Source organism: Homo sapiens, chromosome 11, assembly GCF_000001405.40.
Source record: "Homo sapiens chromosome 11, GRCh38.p14 Primary Assembly".
Taxonomy (NCBI): domain Eukaryota; kingdom Metazoa; phylum Chordata; class Mammalia; order Primates; family Hominidae; genus Homo; species Homo sapiens.
Genome location: NC_000011.10, coordinates 65,817,761 through 65,833,806, shown reverse-complemented (window position 1 = coordinate 65,833,806; position 16,046 = coordinate 65,817,761). Strand labels below are relative to the sequence as shown.

Below are 16,046 nucleotides of genomic sequence, written 5' to 3'. Positions count from 1 at the left end.
TAAGGGACACGCGGCACGGAGAGTGGGCCGGTGATAGGCGACAGTGTGGGAGCTGGGGTCAGAGTTCATAGGGTCGCAGAGGCCGCGTGCCGCGTCTCCCTCCAGTCCCCGGGGGACTGACCCCCACAACAACCCCGTGCCGCCGTTCCGGGCCCCTCCTTCCAACGGCCACGTGCGGCCTGCGCGTGCGCACTCGCCCAGTTTGGCGCCCACCAGGCAGTGGGGAAGGGGAAGGGGAAGGGGAAGAGGGTGAGGGTGGCAGGGTGGGGACAGGGAATGGGAAGCAGTGGTGGGGATGTGGGTGGTGGACCAGGGGCGAGGGCAGGGGACAATGTCTGTGGAGAAGGGGGGTCTGTTTAGGTTTCCGCTCTTGGACGGGAGGGAGCGGCGGGGTAAGCAGCCTAGGAGGACTAGGGAGCTCCACAAGTCCCGCGGCCAGGGCGCCCCAAGCGAGGCCGGGGTCCGCGAACGGTCGCCACTGGAGCGGGGCTGCAAGGGGGTGCCGATGCTGCGAGAGAAAACCTGGGGACCTTGGAACGGGCTCATGGTAATTGGGAAGAGAGTGGAGCTCCTGACTAGAAACACTCGAAAGCCGAAGCTGGAGTCTGAGTACTGGAGACTGGAAGATGTGGAAAAGACGGTCTTGAAAGGGAAGTCAGGCCCGAGTCAGGAAAGGATGGATGTGAAGCTGCTATACCGTGGAGCAAGTGCATCACAAGCTTCAGCAGATTTGGGGAAAGACAGCCCAAGGGGTATTTGGGGAAAGCAAGAGGTCAAACACGAAATAAAGGCTAAATCTAAGAGTGCAGGGATGACAGCAGGGCCTATGAAGGGGTCTGGGTTTGAAGAGAGGTTGAGGTCTGCTGGGGAGAAGGTAGGGACCAGTGGAGAGGACTTGAGATCCAATGGATATAAACTGGGACAGGATGAGAAGGGGTTGAGGTCTAGTGTAGACAAGATGAGATCAAGTGTAGAGAAGCTGAGGTCTACTAGTGAGAAGCTGGTGTGCAGGGGAGAGAAGCAGGGGTCCAGTGGAGTGAAGCTGAGGTCCAGTGGCAGAAAGCTGAGATCAAGTGGAGAGAATTTGAGATCAAGTAGAGAGAAGCTGAGATGGAGTGGAGAGAAGCTGGGAACTAGTGGAGAGAAGCTGGGAACCAGTGATGAGAAGCTGAGGTTGAGTGGAGAGATGCTGAGATCAATCAGAGAGAAGCTGAGGTTGAGTGGAGAGAAGCTGGGAACCAGTGATGAGAAGCTGAGGTTGAGTGGAGAGAAGCTGAGGTTGAGTGGAGAGAAGCTGAGATCAAGCAGAGAGAAGCTGAGGTTGAGTGGAGAGAAGCTGGGAACCAGTGATGAGAAGCTGAGGTTGAGTGGAGAGAAGCTAAGATCAAGCAGAGAGAAGCTGAGGTTGAGTGGAGAGAAGCTAAGATCAAGCAGAGAGAAGCTGAGATTGAGTGGAGAGAAGCTGGGAACAAGTGATGAGAAGCTGAGGTTGAGTGGAGAGAAGCTGAGATCAAGCAGAGAGAAGCTGGGAACCAGTGGAGAGAAGCTGAGATCAAGCAGAGAGAAGCTGAGGTTGAGTGGAGAGAAGCTGGGGTCAAGTGCGGAGAAGCTGAGATCTAGTGAGGAGAAGTTAGGGACCAGCGGGGAGAAATTGGAGGGTTCAAGAATGGGGAGCATAAATGAGAAGAACATTGAAAAAGTGGTAGAAGTTACTGGCGATGAAAGAGTGATGGCATTTACTCATGATGAGATGGAAATTCCTTTTGAAAGTGTCAAAGGGAGTGAGGAACTACAAGGGACTGAGAAAGGAGTGGGAGTTGAGGGGGGCATCTTGAGTGAAGTGAAAGATATCACTGATGAATCTGTTTCTATGGAAAAAAAAGATATTATAGGTGAAGGTACCAGTGAATGAGGCAGATGAAGGATTGACACCAAAGAAGGAAAGAGGCAGACAGGAGAAGTACTGAAAGTCAGAGGAGAAATTAGAGCCAGACAGAACATTATTGACACTGAAGGGGTAAAGTTGAGAAAGGAAAGGAGAGAGTCTGAGCCTAAAATAAAAGAGAGTGGAAGTGAGGAAAAGAGCTTCTGGGGCTGAAGGCGGAGGCCAGGATCAAAGGAAGCAAAGAGGAGTCTCTGGTTCAGAGGGAAGTGGGAACATATGGAGGAGAAAGAGAAGACTTGGTAATGTGTTGACAGAGGACACTTGGATATTGGGAGAAAAGGTGTGACTGGGAGCTCATAGGGAAATGTTTGAGAAAAGGATGGAGGATGGGCTAGAAGGATTTAGTCTGACACTAAATGGGGTCTATGAGATGGAGAATTGCAGCAGGATAAAGGGTAGATTTTGAGAGTTGTGGAAGAAGGTGCAGACTGAAGTGGGCAAAATTTCTGAAAGAGGAGCCTGAAGAATGAAGGGCTCCCAAGTGACAAAAGCAAGAGAGGAGATAAGAAAGAAGTGAGAAAAAACATAAGAAGCCACGTGCCATAATGGTGATTGTGTTTGTTGGTATGTCCTTCATTATTTCCTTTTCTTTTCTTTTCTTTTCTTTCTTTCTTTCTTTCTTTTTCTTTTTTCTTTTTTTTTTTTGAGACAGTCTTGCTCTGTTGCCCAGGTTGGAGTGTGCAGTGGCGCAATCTCGGCTCACTGCAACCTCTGCCTCCCAGGCTCAAGCGATTCTCCTGTCTCAGCCTCCCAAGTAGCTGGGATTACAGACATGTGCCACCATGCCTGGCTAATTCCCTCACTATCTTCTAACTTCCAAGTATTGCTATTTATAAGTCTTTTTGTTCTTTTCTTTTAATTCTATAGATAGTGTTTTTTTCTATGTAAATTACCTGTTTGCTACCACTCCCTAACTCAACCTGTATCCTCACCCCATTTTCTCTGGCCTTACTAGAGGATGTTAGACCTTGAATTATAGCTGTTATCTTTTTTTCTCCTTTTGCCCGTCTCTTTTTATTGTATTCTCTGGGCAATTTCATTAACTTTAAAACAATTGATGTATAGTAGATGTACGTATTTTGGGGGTACCTGTAATATTTTGATACATTCATATAATGTGTAAAGATCAAATCAGGGCAATTGGGATATCCATCATCTTAAATATTTATCTTTTCTTTATGCCAGGAACATTCGAATCATTCTCTTCTAGTGATTTTGAAATGTACAATAGATTATTGTTAACTACAGTCACCCTACTGATCTATAGAACACTGGGTCCCATTTCTTCCATCTAACTGTACATTTCTACTCATTAACATGTCTTTATTTCCTCCACCCTTCCTGGCCTCCAGTAACCACCAATCTCATCTCTATTTTCATGAGATCCACTTTCAACTTTATTAACTGTATCTTTCTTTCTTATTGAAATTTTACATTTTAACTCTCTTGTTCATTGATTGCTTTTTTTTTTTTTTTTGAGATGGAGTCTGGAGTCTTGCTCTGTCACCCAGGCTGGAGTGTAATGGCGTGATCTTGGCTCACTGCAACCTCCGCCTCCCCGGTTCAAGCAATTCTCCTGACTTAGCCTCCTGTGCTCACTGCATGAGCTGGGATTACAGGAATGCATCACCACACCCGGCTAATTTTTTGTATTTTTAGTAGAAACGGGGTTCCACCATGTTGGTCAGGCTGGTTTTGAACTCCTGACCTCAGGTGATCCACCCATCTTGGCCTCCCAAAGTGCTGGGATTACAGGCGTGAGCCACCGAGCCCGGCCGTGCTTCTTTTTTTATATATAGTATTTCTGTTCTTGTTTCATGAGTCTGTTCTCTTAGCTCTCCAAGGATTTTTCCAGTTTTTAAGTTTTCTTCTGCTTTTCTTATTGTTTCCCCTGAGTTCCCCTCCCCTGCTTCCCCCCGCTCCATTTTTTTTGTGTGTGTATTGTTGGAAGTTTTCCTCAAATGTTTGATCTTCGGCTGTCCATATTTAAGAATGAGGCATTAAGCAGAGGCAATTGGAAGCACAATTTGGGGCTTGTTGATCTATGGGCTTCACTCTGTGGCGACTGAAGCAAGCAGGATATTTTACTGGGTACACCCAAATATCAGAATCTGTAAATCTCACTGAAGGGACCGTCTGGTTTCTACAGAGAATTCTCCAATCTGTCTGGGGGATATCTGCATGGCCCCTGCTATAGAGGTTACAGCAGCAGGGTCAGGGGAGACGGTTGTGGAGCCACCGCTTGGTACATATGTTTTTACCCAGTCCCTTGTTTTCAGCTCAGTGCTCACTCCACCTTCAGCTGTGCCTGGTGTCCCTGAGTTGGTGCTTCTCAGATTCAGTTTCCCCAAAGAGTAAACCCTCTGCTGTGCTATGGGAGTTGGTGCCCAGCTAAAAAAGGTTGGGGAGGGGATTTGTAAGCTTAACTGCTTTATATACAGACTCCTAAATAATTTCTCTGTTCTCAGCTCTATGCCTTTTTCCTTCCATCTGAGCTATCTGGTCCCTCCATGTCCTGAACTTTTTTGGGGATAAGTAGAGTGAACTGTTAACTTTTCGTTTCTATTATCTTTAAGCACTTAAGTGCCAGCTGCCTCCACTCTGCCAAGTTGGTTACCACTCCATCTCCAAACTTTTTTTTTTTTTGTCATTGTTGTTGTTTTTGAAATAGGGTCTCACTCTGTCACTCAGGCTGGAGTGCAGTGGCATGATCATGGCTCACTGCAGCCTCAACCTTCTAGGCTGAAGCAATCTCCTCAGCCTCCCAAGTAGCTGGGACTACAGGTGTACACCACCACAAGAGACTAGTTTTTTTTTTTTTTTAAGTAGAGATGAGGTCTCTCTATGTTGCCCAGGCAGGTCTTGAACTTCTGGGCTCAAGCGATCCTCCTGCCTCTACCCGAAAGTGCTGAGATTACCGACATGAGCCACTGCACCCCGCCAACTTTTCCCATCTTAAAAAACAAAAACAAAAAACTTCTCTGTACCCTACATTTCCCTCTAGTACTGTCCCATTTTTCTTGCTCCTTAAGGTAGGCACAAAAGTGGTCCGCCAAAGATATATTCACTTCCTAATCCCAGGAACCTGTGAATATTACCTTAATATGGCAAAAGATGTAATTAAGTTAAAGATCTTGAGAGAAGGGCCCACTTTAGAGGTGGGTCGTAAATGCCATTACAAGTGTCCTTGTAAGAGAGAGGAAGAGAAGGAGAACAGACACACAGAGAGGAGGAGGCAGTGTGATCTCCCAGGCACAGGCTGGAGTTATGCAGCTACGAGTCAAGGAGTGCCGATGGTCGCCTGAAGTTGGAAGAGGCACAGAATGGATTCTTCCCCAGAGTCTCTGTAGAGAGTGTGGCCTCCGCCAACACCTTGGTTTTAGCATCTGACCTCTAGAGCTGTGAGAGAATAAACCTCTATTGTTTTAAGCCATCAGTTGCTGGTAATTATTATTATTTTTTTTGAGACAGAGTCTCACACTGTTGCCCAGGCTGGAGTGCAGTGGCGCGATCTCGGCTCACTGCAAGCTCCACCTTCTGGGTTCATGCCATTCTCCTGCCTCAGCCTCCCCAGTAGCTGGGACTACAGGCGCCCGCCACCATCCCCGGCTAATTTTTATATTTATTAGTAGAGACGAGGTTTCTCCATGTTGGCCAGGCTGGTCTCGAACTCCTGACCTTGTGATGTGCCCGCCTCAGCCTCCCAAAGTGCTGGGATTACAGGCATGAGCCACCACGCCCAGCCGTAGTTCGTTCATCTGTCTGCTATAGTTCCTGTAGTTCTGTAGTTCCAGTTCCTGGAAGTTGAGGCTAGAGGCCCTGGCTTCTCTTTCTCCATCACGTTCATCACCTTCTGACTCAGAACTTTCCTACTGTAGCTGTTTACATCTATCTGTCCTCACTAGGATGTAAATGAGCTCTATGAGGGCAGCAATATGTGTCAGTCTGGTTACCCTCTCTAGTCCAGTGTGTAACCAGCCCATAGTAGCACTCAGCATGTGTCTGCAGAATAAATCAACCCATCATATTCAGTGACTTCATCAGTCTCAGTACTATTTAATATCTATTGAGAAATTGCTATAATAATTTACCCTGTTTCTTAGAATGTCACATTTTTTGAAACCTCAAAAGCCTGAAACTGTCTTTGTTCCATACTTGTACTTGAGGTTTTTCTGGATATAGAGTTTCCCTCAGCAGCCTGAAGATGTGCGCCTTTGTTTTCTTCCTTTCTGCATGGCCATTGAGAGTCCAGATCTATTTCTAAGCTGAGCCAGTTGCACAACCAGGCGTTCTGTGTATGAGATCTGTTTGCTTCTCCCCAGCTCCGCTATTTCTCCTTCTTTATTGGGCAGAAGCTGATAGCTTGCTCTTTCATTTTCTAGGAACTCTGATCCCATTGTTAGACAATAAAGTGGAGATATTAATAGGGAGTGGGCAGAGTTGTAAAGATAAGCTATAGATGGCTCAAGCCTCATGGTAGGATCTTCTTGACAAATGATTATAATAGCTAACATTTACTGAATTCTTGTAATAATCAGGGTAATTTAATCAGCACCATGCTAAGCACTTTACATGTTCTCTATAATTTAGTCCAATAGCTCTTTGAGATAGGAACTATTACTCTATCGACTCTACCCAGTAGACACTGCCAGAGCCAGGCACAGAGTCCAGGCAGCCTGACTCCAGAGCTGAGCTGGAAACCGCTCTGTCTGCTGAATGGCCTCCTCTATTCCTACCAGACAAGCCCTGAACCTTGGCTTCCTCACCTGCCAAAGCAAGGCCTGGGATCCTGAATGGGGGTAGGGAATGAGGCTGTGCAGCAACCCCTCCATTCATTCGGCGCATACTTACTGGATGAGCGCTTCAGTGGCAAGTATTTAAGAATATAAATGTTGGTGGGGTGCGGTAGCTCACACCTGTACTCTCAGCACTTTGGGAGGCCGAGGCGGGCGGATCACCTGAGGTCAAGAGTTTAAGACCAGCCTGGCCAACATGGTGAAACCCCGTCTCTACTAAAAATACAAAAATTAGCCAGATGTGGTGGCTCACGCCTGTAATCCCAGCTACTTGGGAGGCTGAGGCACAAGAATCACTTGAATCCTGGAGGTGGAGGTTGCAGTGAGCTGAGATCGCGCCACTGCACTCCAACCTTAGTGACAGAGTGAGACTCTGTCTCCAAAAATAATAATAATAATTGTGTGTGTATATATATATAAATGTCAAAAAACAATGACGTTTATTTTCTTTCCTAGATCTCTGCCATCCCGAGATCATCACTCCTAGCCTCCTCTGGAAACTCTCTGAGAGTTGGGGAATTGTCTCTTTTATAAGAGGCCTACACAGGCACGAGGTCATACTTGGGCAGTTTTCGGCTTTGTGAAAATCTCTCAGATTGCACCGCACAGTATACAACTGATGAACCAGACAACCACAATCGTTCTTTGGATTGCATTTTCTCCTGAGATATCAGACGCATTTCACCAGGGCCACAGAAAGAAAAATGAAGACCAAGATACCGTGACAAATGCCAACTACCTCATAAGTGCAGATATTTTCAGTTATCTAGGTAGCTAGAGCTTTGCATAGGTAATACCCTTTTCTACTAAAATTAACCAAAACACACACATTCCAGGGCTCCTGAGTGATTTTTATATATATATATATATATATATATATATATATGTATATTTAAGTATATATACATATATGTATGTATAATTATATGTATATGTATACATTTATATATGTATATAACATATATATATTTTAAATATATATATATCGTGTGTGTGTGTGTGTGTGTGTGTGTGTGTGTGTGTGTGTGTGTGTGTATATATATATATATATATATATATATATATATATATATATATATATATATATATATATAAAACAGAGATGGGGGTCTCACTATGTTGCCCAAGCTGGTCTCAAACTCCTGGGCTCAAGCCTAGATGATTTTTTTTTTTTTTTTGTGAGACGGAGTCTCGCTCTGCCACCCAGGCTGGAGTGCAGTGGCACAATCTCGGCTCACTGCAAGCTCCTCCTCCCGGGTTCACGCCATTCTCCTGCCTCAGCCTCCCAAGTAGCTGGGACTACAGGCGCCCACCACCATGCCTAGCTAATTTTTTGTATTTTTCATTAGAGATGGGGTTTCACTGTGTTAGCCAGAATGGTCTCGATCTCCTGACCTTGTGATCCGCCTGCCTTGGCCTCCCAAAGTGTTGGGATTACAGGCGTGAGCCACCACGCCCGGCCAAGCATGGACGATTTTTAAAATTTTTATAATTTTATTCTTTGTATAGTCCCAGCCTTGTTTCTTGTAACAGAATGTGTTAAAGTAACATTAACTTTTGGTTGGGTGCCGTGGCTCATGCCTGTAATCCTAGCACTTTGGGAGGCTGAGGCGGGCAGATCACTGGAGGTCAGGCATTTGAGAACAGCCTGGCCAACATGGTGAAACTCCATCTCTACTGAAAATACAAAAATTAGCCAGATGTGGTGGTGCGCACCTGTAATCCCAGCTACTAAGGAGGCTGAGGCAGGAGAATTGATAGAGCTCGGGAGGTGGAGGTTGCAGTGAGGAGAGATCATGCCACTGCACTCCAGCCTGGGTGACAGAGGGAGACTCCATCTCAAACAAAAAACAAAACAAAACAAAACAAACAAAAAAACAAGTAACATTAACTTTTGGTTAAAATGCATTCTTGGTTGGTCCAATTAATTCATTCAGCAAACAGTGAGCACTTATCGTGTGCCCTCTGGGAATGCAAAAAATGTGTAAAACCGGGCTCTTGGCCTTGGCCTTTTTTTTTTTTCTTTTTGAGACAGGGTCTCACTCTGTCACCCAGGCTGGAATGTAGTGGCACAATCTCGGCTTATTGCAGCCTCCACCTCCCAGGTTCAAGCAATTCTCCTGCCTCTGCCTCCCAGGTAGCTGGGATTACAGGCATGTGCCACCACACCTGGCTAATTCTTGTATTTTTAGTGGAGACAGGGTTTCACCACGTTGGCCAGGCTCGTCTCAAACTGCTGACCTCAGGTGATCCACCTGAGCCTTGGCCTCCCAAAGTGTTGAGATTACAGGCGTAAGCCACCATGCCCAGCCCAGAGCAGAGAGAATCTTAAAGAAACTAGCAGGATATGAGCCTAGGGCCAGACTGGGGAGGGAGCCTCAAAGGCAGGATTAAGGAATTGCGACTCTGTTCTGTAGGTGACAGGGAAGATGATGCCATCAGATCTGTGCTTCACATAGAGAAGTCCGGCTTCGAGATGGAGTCACCGGAGCATGGTGTGCGGGCACTCAGTAAAGTGGAGATGTGATTACTAGATCATTATGGTAAGTAGTTCAGGCCTGGCAAGGTGGCTCAAGCCTGAAATGCCAACACTTTGAGAGGCCGAGGCAGGAGGATTGCTTGAGTCCAAGAGTTCCAGACTGGCCTGAGCAACAGAGTGAGACCCCATCTCTACAAAAACAAACAAAATTAGCTGGGCATGGTGGCATATGCCAATAGTTGAAGCTACTCAGGAGGCTGAGGTGGGAGGATCACTTGAGCCTGGGAGATTGAGGCTGTAGTGAGCCTTGATCGCACACCACTGCACTCCAGCCTGGGTGACAGAGCAAGACCCTATCTCAAACACACACACACACACACACACACACACACTCTTACACACACACACACAAAATAAATAAATAGTTCAGGGTAGAGAGGATGAGGTTATGAATTACAGCGGAGAGAGGAGGAATAAAAACAAGACTTGAGAGAGTATTAAAAGTCCCATTTAACAGAATTGGCTGATTAATGTGAATGGATGGTGAGGAATGAGGCGCCAGGCGCATGGATAGCAGTAGCTGACGTGAAATGCTTACTCTGCATTAGGCGTGTTACACACATTATCTCACTTAATCCCACAACCGCAATTGTATTACTATCCACATTTTATAGGTGGCATTGAAGCCCGTCAGAGTGGTCAATCGAAACGACATAGCTAGTATGTGTTGGTAGTAAGTGGTGGTGTGAGGAGGTTTTGGACCTATGTGGTAGCTCTACCAGCTGGCTGGGTCTTCAGTGCCATGTGATTGGGAGGTGAAGCGACCACCCTAGTCAGCAGTGAATGAATGGCGGATTCGGGCCAGAAGCCTGCTGGAACCATCTTCTGCTCCGGAGAGCTCACAGTTAGGTGGCTCTGATGCCACATCGGCCATAGATGTGTTATGTTTGCCCCAAAGAATATTTTAAGACCATGTTTAGAATTAATTGGTACCTTTTTAAAATGCAGAGATTCACATTAAAGAGTGAGTTTCTGGCTTTTCTTGGAAAATGAGAAGATCTGGCCACACTGGGCCCATATAGGAACTGGAGTTGCCTCTCTCTGTTTCCTTCAGCTGGGGCCTGTGCCCCCCTGTTGGCCAGGCCCCACTGGCCTGCCTGGGGTCCCTGCCACCTCCGCAGGCACCTGGGTCTGCCTTTCTGCTGTTCTGTCACGAGGTGTGCCACTCAGCTTGGCTTTGAAGCCAGGCTGTGTTTGTGCATTGAATGCACGCCAAGCCCAGGCCTCCACTGATGGCTAAATACCTTTTCTGAATTGTAGGCAATATAAGATAAAAACGTGCTGCGGGAAGTGAGAAAAACTACATGCCCCCCCATGCTGAGTGCCCACAGGAGGCGCACGGGTAGTGCAGGAAAAAGGCAAATGGCCATAGTTCCTGAAACCAGCATAAATTAAAACAAAATACAAATCATACCCTGGCAAATGGCAAGTAACAGCCTATTGCCAGTATGCGAATCACGTTGTGATTTTTTAAAATTTGTTTTGTAATAAATAATTTGTTTGAATTTTGAGCTGCGTACTTTGGACATATGATAAGGAAGCTGTGGGGGAAGATTGTGTGTGTGTGTGTGTGTGTGTGCACACGCGCGCACCTGTGCATGTTTATGGGGGTGTGGACCACAGTTTACAAAGCTTGGAGTTTTCTATAGAAATTCAGTTTCAGAGTCTGGGTGCAGTGGCTCACACCTATAATCCCAGCACTTTAGGACACCGAGGTGTGCAGATTGCTCGAGTCCAGGAGTTTGAGAGCAGCCTAGGTAAATGGCAAAACCGCGTCTCTGCAAAATATACAAAAATTAGAGGGTCCTGGTGAACCACGCCTGTAGTCCCAGCTACTCGGGAAGCTGGTGTGGGAGGATCACTTGAGCCCGGGAGGTGGAGGTTGCAGTGAGCCGAGATTGTGCTACTATGCTCCAGCCTGGGTGACAGAGCGAGACCATGAAAAAAAAAAAAAGGAAAAAAGGAAGGAAGGAAGAAAGGAAGGAAAGAAGGAAAGAAACAAACTTCACTTTCAGAACATTTTTTCAAGACCAGCCTGGCCAACATGGTGAAACCCCATCTCTATTAAAAATACAAAACTTAGCCAGGCATGGTGGCGGGTGCCTGTAATTCCAGCTACTTAGGAGGCCAAGGCAGGAGAATCACTTGAACCCAGGAAGCGGAGGTTGCAGTGAGCCAAGATTGCACCTTTGTGCTCCAGCCTGGGTGACAAGAGTGAAATTCGGTCTCAAAAAAAAAAAGAACATTTTAATAAACTTTTATGATTAAAGGGTGAAAACATGTTTCTGTACCATAACGTTCAAATGTGAGGTCCACACTGGCAAACAGGTATTTATCTGTATTAAATATTATGTTCCATTTAAAGTATAACAATAATTCTCCGTGCCCATGGTCAGGTTGGGCAAATGACCACATTTCATGCTTGTGTGAGTTTTTGTTTGCAATCTGTATACTGCCCTTAGAGATACAGGTTCAAACAGGTGCAGGAAGCAGAGCTGCCAGCAAAGTGCAGGAGTCGACTCTTTTTCTTTTCTTTTCTTGCTTTTTTTTTTTTTTTTTTTTTAGCCAGAGTCTCGCTCTGTCACCCAGGCTGGAATGCAGTGGCTTGATCTCAGCTCACTGCAACCTCCACCTCCCGGGTTCAAGCAATTCTCCTGCCTCAGCCTCCCAAGTAGCTGGGAATACAGGTGTCTGCCACCATGCCCGGCTAATTTTTGTATTTTTAGTAGAGATGGGGTTTCACCATGTTGTCCAGGCTTGTCTCAAACTCCTGACCTCAGGTGATCCACCTGCCTTGGCCTCCCAAAGTGCTGGGGTTACAGGTGTGAGCCACTGCGCTCGGCCTCTAGACTCTTAATCTATGTTCTTTGAGTTACACCTGACAACTTTCCATCACACCTGGCTGCCTGGCTCAGGAACTGGAGGAAGGCGGCCAGTGCTGGCCAGGAATTTCTCAGAGGCCACTGGACAGTATTATGGAGTGGCCCCTGCCCCTCAGAGGCTCACTGTCCATAGCACAGGGGTCATCCATCCTGTCAGACCATGCTGACCCCACTCACGAGAGGCTAGCCCTGCAAGTTCTCCCCTGGGAACAGGAAGTAATCGTGCGAGGTTTACATGGCAGATCAGCTTGGTCTCGGGAGCTATTTCTACACAAATCACGTGGGGCTCAGAAGGCCATGCTCTGCTGCTCCCTGGACTCTGGCCCCTGTCCTGCGTGTCCTCCTTCCTCTGGTCCTCAGAGACTCCCCGTTCCCTGCCATATGCACACTTAGGGTGGGACCGGGATGTGCACTGTAGCCAGTTCTGTTCTTGTTTGTGTTGCTCAGAATCCATTGTTTCTTACTGATGCAGATCAGTGCCTAATACTAGGTGTCCAGCACCATGCTGGGAGCCAGGGATACAACAGACAGGTGCCTCCCTGGGGGATAAGTGGAGCACACGCAGGTAATAATCAGTGAACTGGGTAGCGCTTTGTTACAGGCCTCTCACAACTGGTATTTTATCTCCATCATATTGTAATTTTGTTTTTGTGGTGTGACCTAAAAAGCCTTGGATCCTCAAAAGATCTGGCCAAGTTCATGGTAAAGTTATTATTCCTTTAACAAATGCATTCATTTAACAATATTTATTAAGCACCTATTATTTGTCAGGTACCATTCCAGATGTCAGGATTATAACAGAGAACAAAACTGACAAATAGCACTGTTCTCTTGGTGCTTACATTGTTGTGGAAGGAGACAAAAAGAAATAATGTCAATATAATATGTCCTAAGAATTTTAAAGAAAAACTCAAGCAGGGTAAGGGAGAGAGAATGACGATGGGGAGGAGGGCCGCTCTTTGAGGAAGGCCCTTCTGGTGACCCTTGAAGCAGAGCCCAGCAAGAGGGGAGGGGGAAGCTGTGGTTTGGAGGAAGTCTTTTCATAGCGGGGAGCCTCAAGGGCAGAGCCCCCGAGGGGGAGTGTGCCCTACCTGTTGGAAGGAAGCCACTGATCTGCAATCCTGTTTTCCTCGTCTGCAAATTAATGGGCTTGTTGGGAGGGACAAATGAAATCATTTATATGAAAACATTTATGTCAACTGTAGAACACTCTATAAAAGTTATTCTCTTTATGTTGACTTCATCAAGTATTTGCAGTGTCTAAAGCAGGAATGATCATAATGATTATATTACAATTCTGCCCTTTCATTTTTTTTATTGAGGTGAAATGCATATAACATATAATTAATCATTTTATAGCCTACAATTCAGTGGCATTTGGTGCATTCACAATGTTGTGCAACCACCACCGCTTTCTATTTAAAAACCTTTTTCATCATCCCCACCTTTTCTTTCTTTTCTTTTTAAAATAGAGATGGTGTCTCCCTACATTGCCCAAGCTGGATTAGAACACCTGGGCTCAAGTGATCCTCCAACCTCAGTCTCCTGAGTAGCTGGGATTATAGGCACTCACCACTGTGCCTGGCCTTTCATTTTTATTTTATTTTATTTTATTAATTATTATTATTATTTAGAGACAGGATCTCACTCTGTTGCTCAGGCTGGAATGCGGTGGTGTGATCATGGTTCCCTGCGGCTTCCACCTGCTGGGCTCAAGCAATCCTCCCACCTCAGCCTCCCAAATAGCTGAAACTATAGACATACGCCACAGTGCCTGGCTAATTTTTGTATTTTTTGCAGAGCCGTGGTTTCATCTTGTTGCCCAGGCTGGTCTTGAACTCCTGGGCCTAAGTGATCCTCCTACCTTGGCTTCCTCCAGTGCTGGTATTACAGGCGTGAGTCACTGTGCCTGGCCTTTTTTATTTTTATTTTTTGACACAGAGTCTCACTCTGTCACCAGGTAGGACAGTGGTGCAATCTCGGCTCACTGCAACCTCTGCCTCCCAGGGTTAAGAGAGTCTTATGCCTCAGTCTCCTCAGTAGCTGGGATTACAGGTGCACACCACCACGCCCAGTTAATTTTTTTCTATTTTTAGTAGAGACAGGGTTTTACCATGTTGGCCCCACTGGTCTGGAACTCCTGGCCTCAAGTGATTCACCTACCTCGGCCTCCCAAAGTGCTAGGATTACAGGAATGAGCCACTGCACCCGGCCTTTGGCCTCATTTTAATTTTTATTTATTTATTTATTTATTTATTTATTTATTTATTTATTTATATTTATATTTTTATTTTTTTTGAGACGGAGTCTCGCTCTGTAGCCCAGGCTGGAGTCCAGGGGCGCGATCTCGGCTCACTGCAAGCTCCGCCTCCCAGGTTCACACCATTCTCCTGCAGTCAGCCTCCCGAGTAGCTGGGACTACAGGCGCCCGCCACCACGCCCGGCTAATTTTTTTTGTATTTTTAGTAGAGACGGGGTTTCACCATGTTAGCCAGGATGGTCTCGATCTCCTGACCTCGTGATCCGCCCGCCTCGGCTTCCCAAAGTGCTGGGATTACAGGCGTGAGCCACCGCGCCCGGCGCCGCATTTTTAATAGTCACTTGAGATACCATTCTGGAAATAGGATTTCCCCCCGTATCTGACTTTGTCCTTTCTGTTTCTGCCTAGCCTCCAGCTCCTAGGCTTCATCCATGTATTTTTCCAACAGCAATTTATTGAGCACCTACTGTGTGGGAGGCACTGTGCTAGGCAGATTCTGGAGACACAACAATGACAGTGACAGGGAGGTCCCTGCATCCCCAGGACTCACAGTGTGGTGGGGGATTTAGACAGTGAATGGATAATTGCCGGAAAACTAAATTATGATACATGCTTATAAGAAAAAATGTTTTGAAAATTATGTTAAATACATTTGTGGAGTTATCGAAGCTACTGGAAGAGAGACGCCACTCTCAGAACAACATGACTGGTTTTATAACTGTGCTCCCAGTTCAGACACGGGGGACAAAGATGACCTCGGGGAGGCGACCTGGATTTTGCTGGGGCCTAAGCAGCGAGGCCGGCCCAGGAAGAAAGAGCGGTGCTTCCTTCATTTGCTCCTGGTCACCCTCTGAGGTGTGCAAGGGTAGATAGTGTTGCCATCGCTCCCATTTGAGAGATGTGGAAACTGAGGCTTGGCCAGGCGTGCTTGCCACCTGGAGGGGCTGACGTCTGATACTTGCTTTAGCCAACGGTCAAAGCGTTTGTCCGATAGGGGGCAGCGGCGCGCCAGGCTGGAAGGAGAGCGGCATCCGCGCGCGCGGCGCTCCCGGCGTTCCAGGAGGGGGCGCTGCTGACCCGGCCTCGGATCGCCGCTCCCGCCCCGGCCTTGCCCCGCCGCCCTGCCCCACCCCCCGCCCGGAGCCCGGCACTCGTGACCTCGCCAGCTCTCAGCTCCCTCGGGCGATTTCGTGCACGCTAATGTGCGCCTCTGTGTTTTCCTAAATGCTGGTTTCTTCATCAAGCGGCGGAATAACGCATCAGGGCAGGTGACCCACGTCACCGGGGTGATGCACTGGTGCTCGCCGGGGCGGGCGCTGTGCCTGCGGGAGCCGCGCGGCCGGCGCGGTGTCGGGGCGCCTCGTGGGGGCCGAGCCGCGCCCGCACGTCCCTCAGGTAGGCGCGACCAGAGTTTCTTTAGACAGGATGACCTGGCAGCGTTTCCACCCCACCCACGGCGAGTTTCGCTTTCCTAATGTGGTTAAAAAGTGCGTTCTATCTGAAATAGGGTGGTTGAACAGGTTTCAACATTTTACTTAATTTTTTGTTTGTTTTAGATTTCTTCCTTCTGGTGGGTCTCTTTCTTTTTCTGTCAAGAAGATGTTCATAACTGTCCTCTTTGGCA

The 16,046-nt window shown here is 47.1% G+C and overlaps 1 protein-coding gene across 4 annotated transcripts in view, besides 3 other annotated features; it reads left to right on the top strand.

Annotated features, from left to right (window-relative positions):
• The window catches only part of LOC124902693 (uncharacterized), a 44,799-nt gene continuing 28,760 nt past the window's right edge, over positions 8-16,046 (top strand). The window contains exons 1-4 of one of the 4 annotated variants that reach the window (XM_047427977.1): positions 8-2,509; positions 7,198-7,511; positions 9,159-9,284; positions 10,541-10,785. In XM_047427977.1, the coding sequence (XP_047283933.1) occupies positions 296-1,912 (1,617 nt within the window). In that variant the 5' untranslated portion in view covers positions 8-295 and the 3' untranslated portion in view covers positions 1,913-2,509; positions 7,198-7,511; positions 9,159-9,284; positions 10,541-10,785. Of the gene's footprint in view, positions 2,510-6,684; positions 6,812-7,197; positions 7,532-9,158; positions 10,786-16,046 lie in introns of those variants that run through there. The other 3 variants (XM_047427980.1, XM_047427976.1, XM_047427979.1) reach the window with 3 other exon arrangements.
• Positions 163-292: a silencer, noted in NCBI's record as "silent region_3558". NCBI's record gives its function as "represses an Ori minimal core promoter by ATAC-STARR-seq in GM12878 lymphoblastoid cells {active_cell/tissue: GM12878}" and the evidence as "EXISTENCE:reporter gene assay evidence [ECO:0000049][PMID:35858748]".
• Positions 5,655-5,949: a silencer, noted in NCBI's record as "tiled region #4974; HepG2 Repressive non-DNase unmatched - State 22:ReprW". NCBI's record gives its function as "represses a minimal TATA promoter and a strong SV40 promoter by Sharpr-MPRA in HepG2 cells {active_cell/tissue: HepG2}" and the evidence as "EXISTENCE:reporter gene assay evidence [ECO:0000049][PMID:27701403]".
• Positions 15,336-15,795: a silencer, noted in NCBI's record as "silent region_3557". NCBI's record gives its function as "represses an Ori minimal core promoter by ATAC-STARR-seq in GM12878 lymphoblastoid cells {active_cell/tissue: GM12878}" and the evidence as "EXISTENCE:reporter gene assay evidence [ECO:0000049][PMID:35858748]".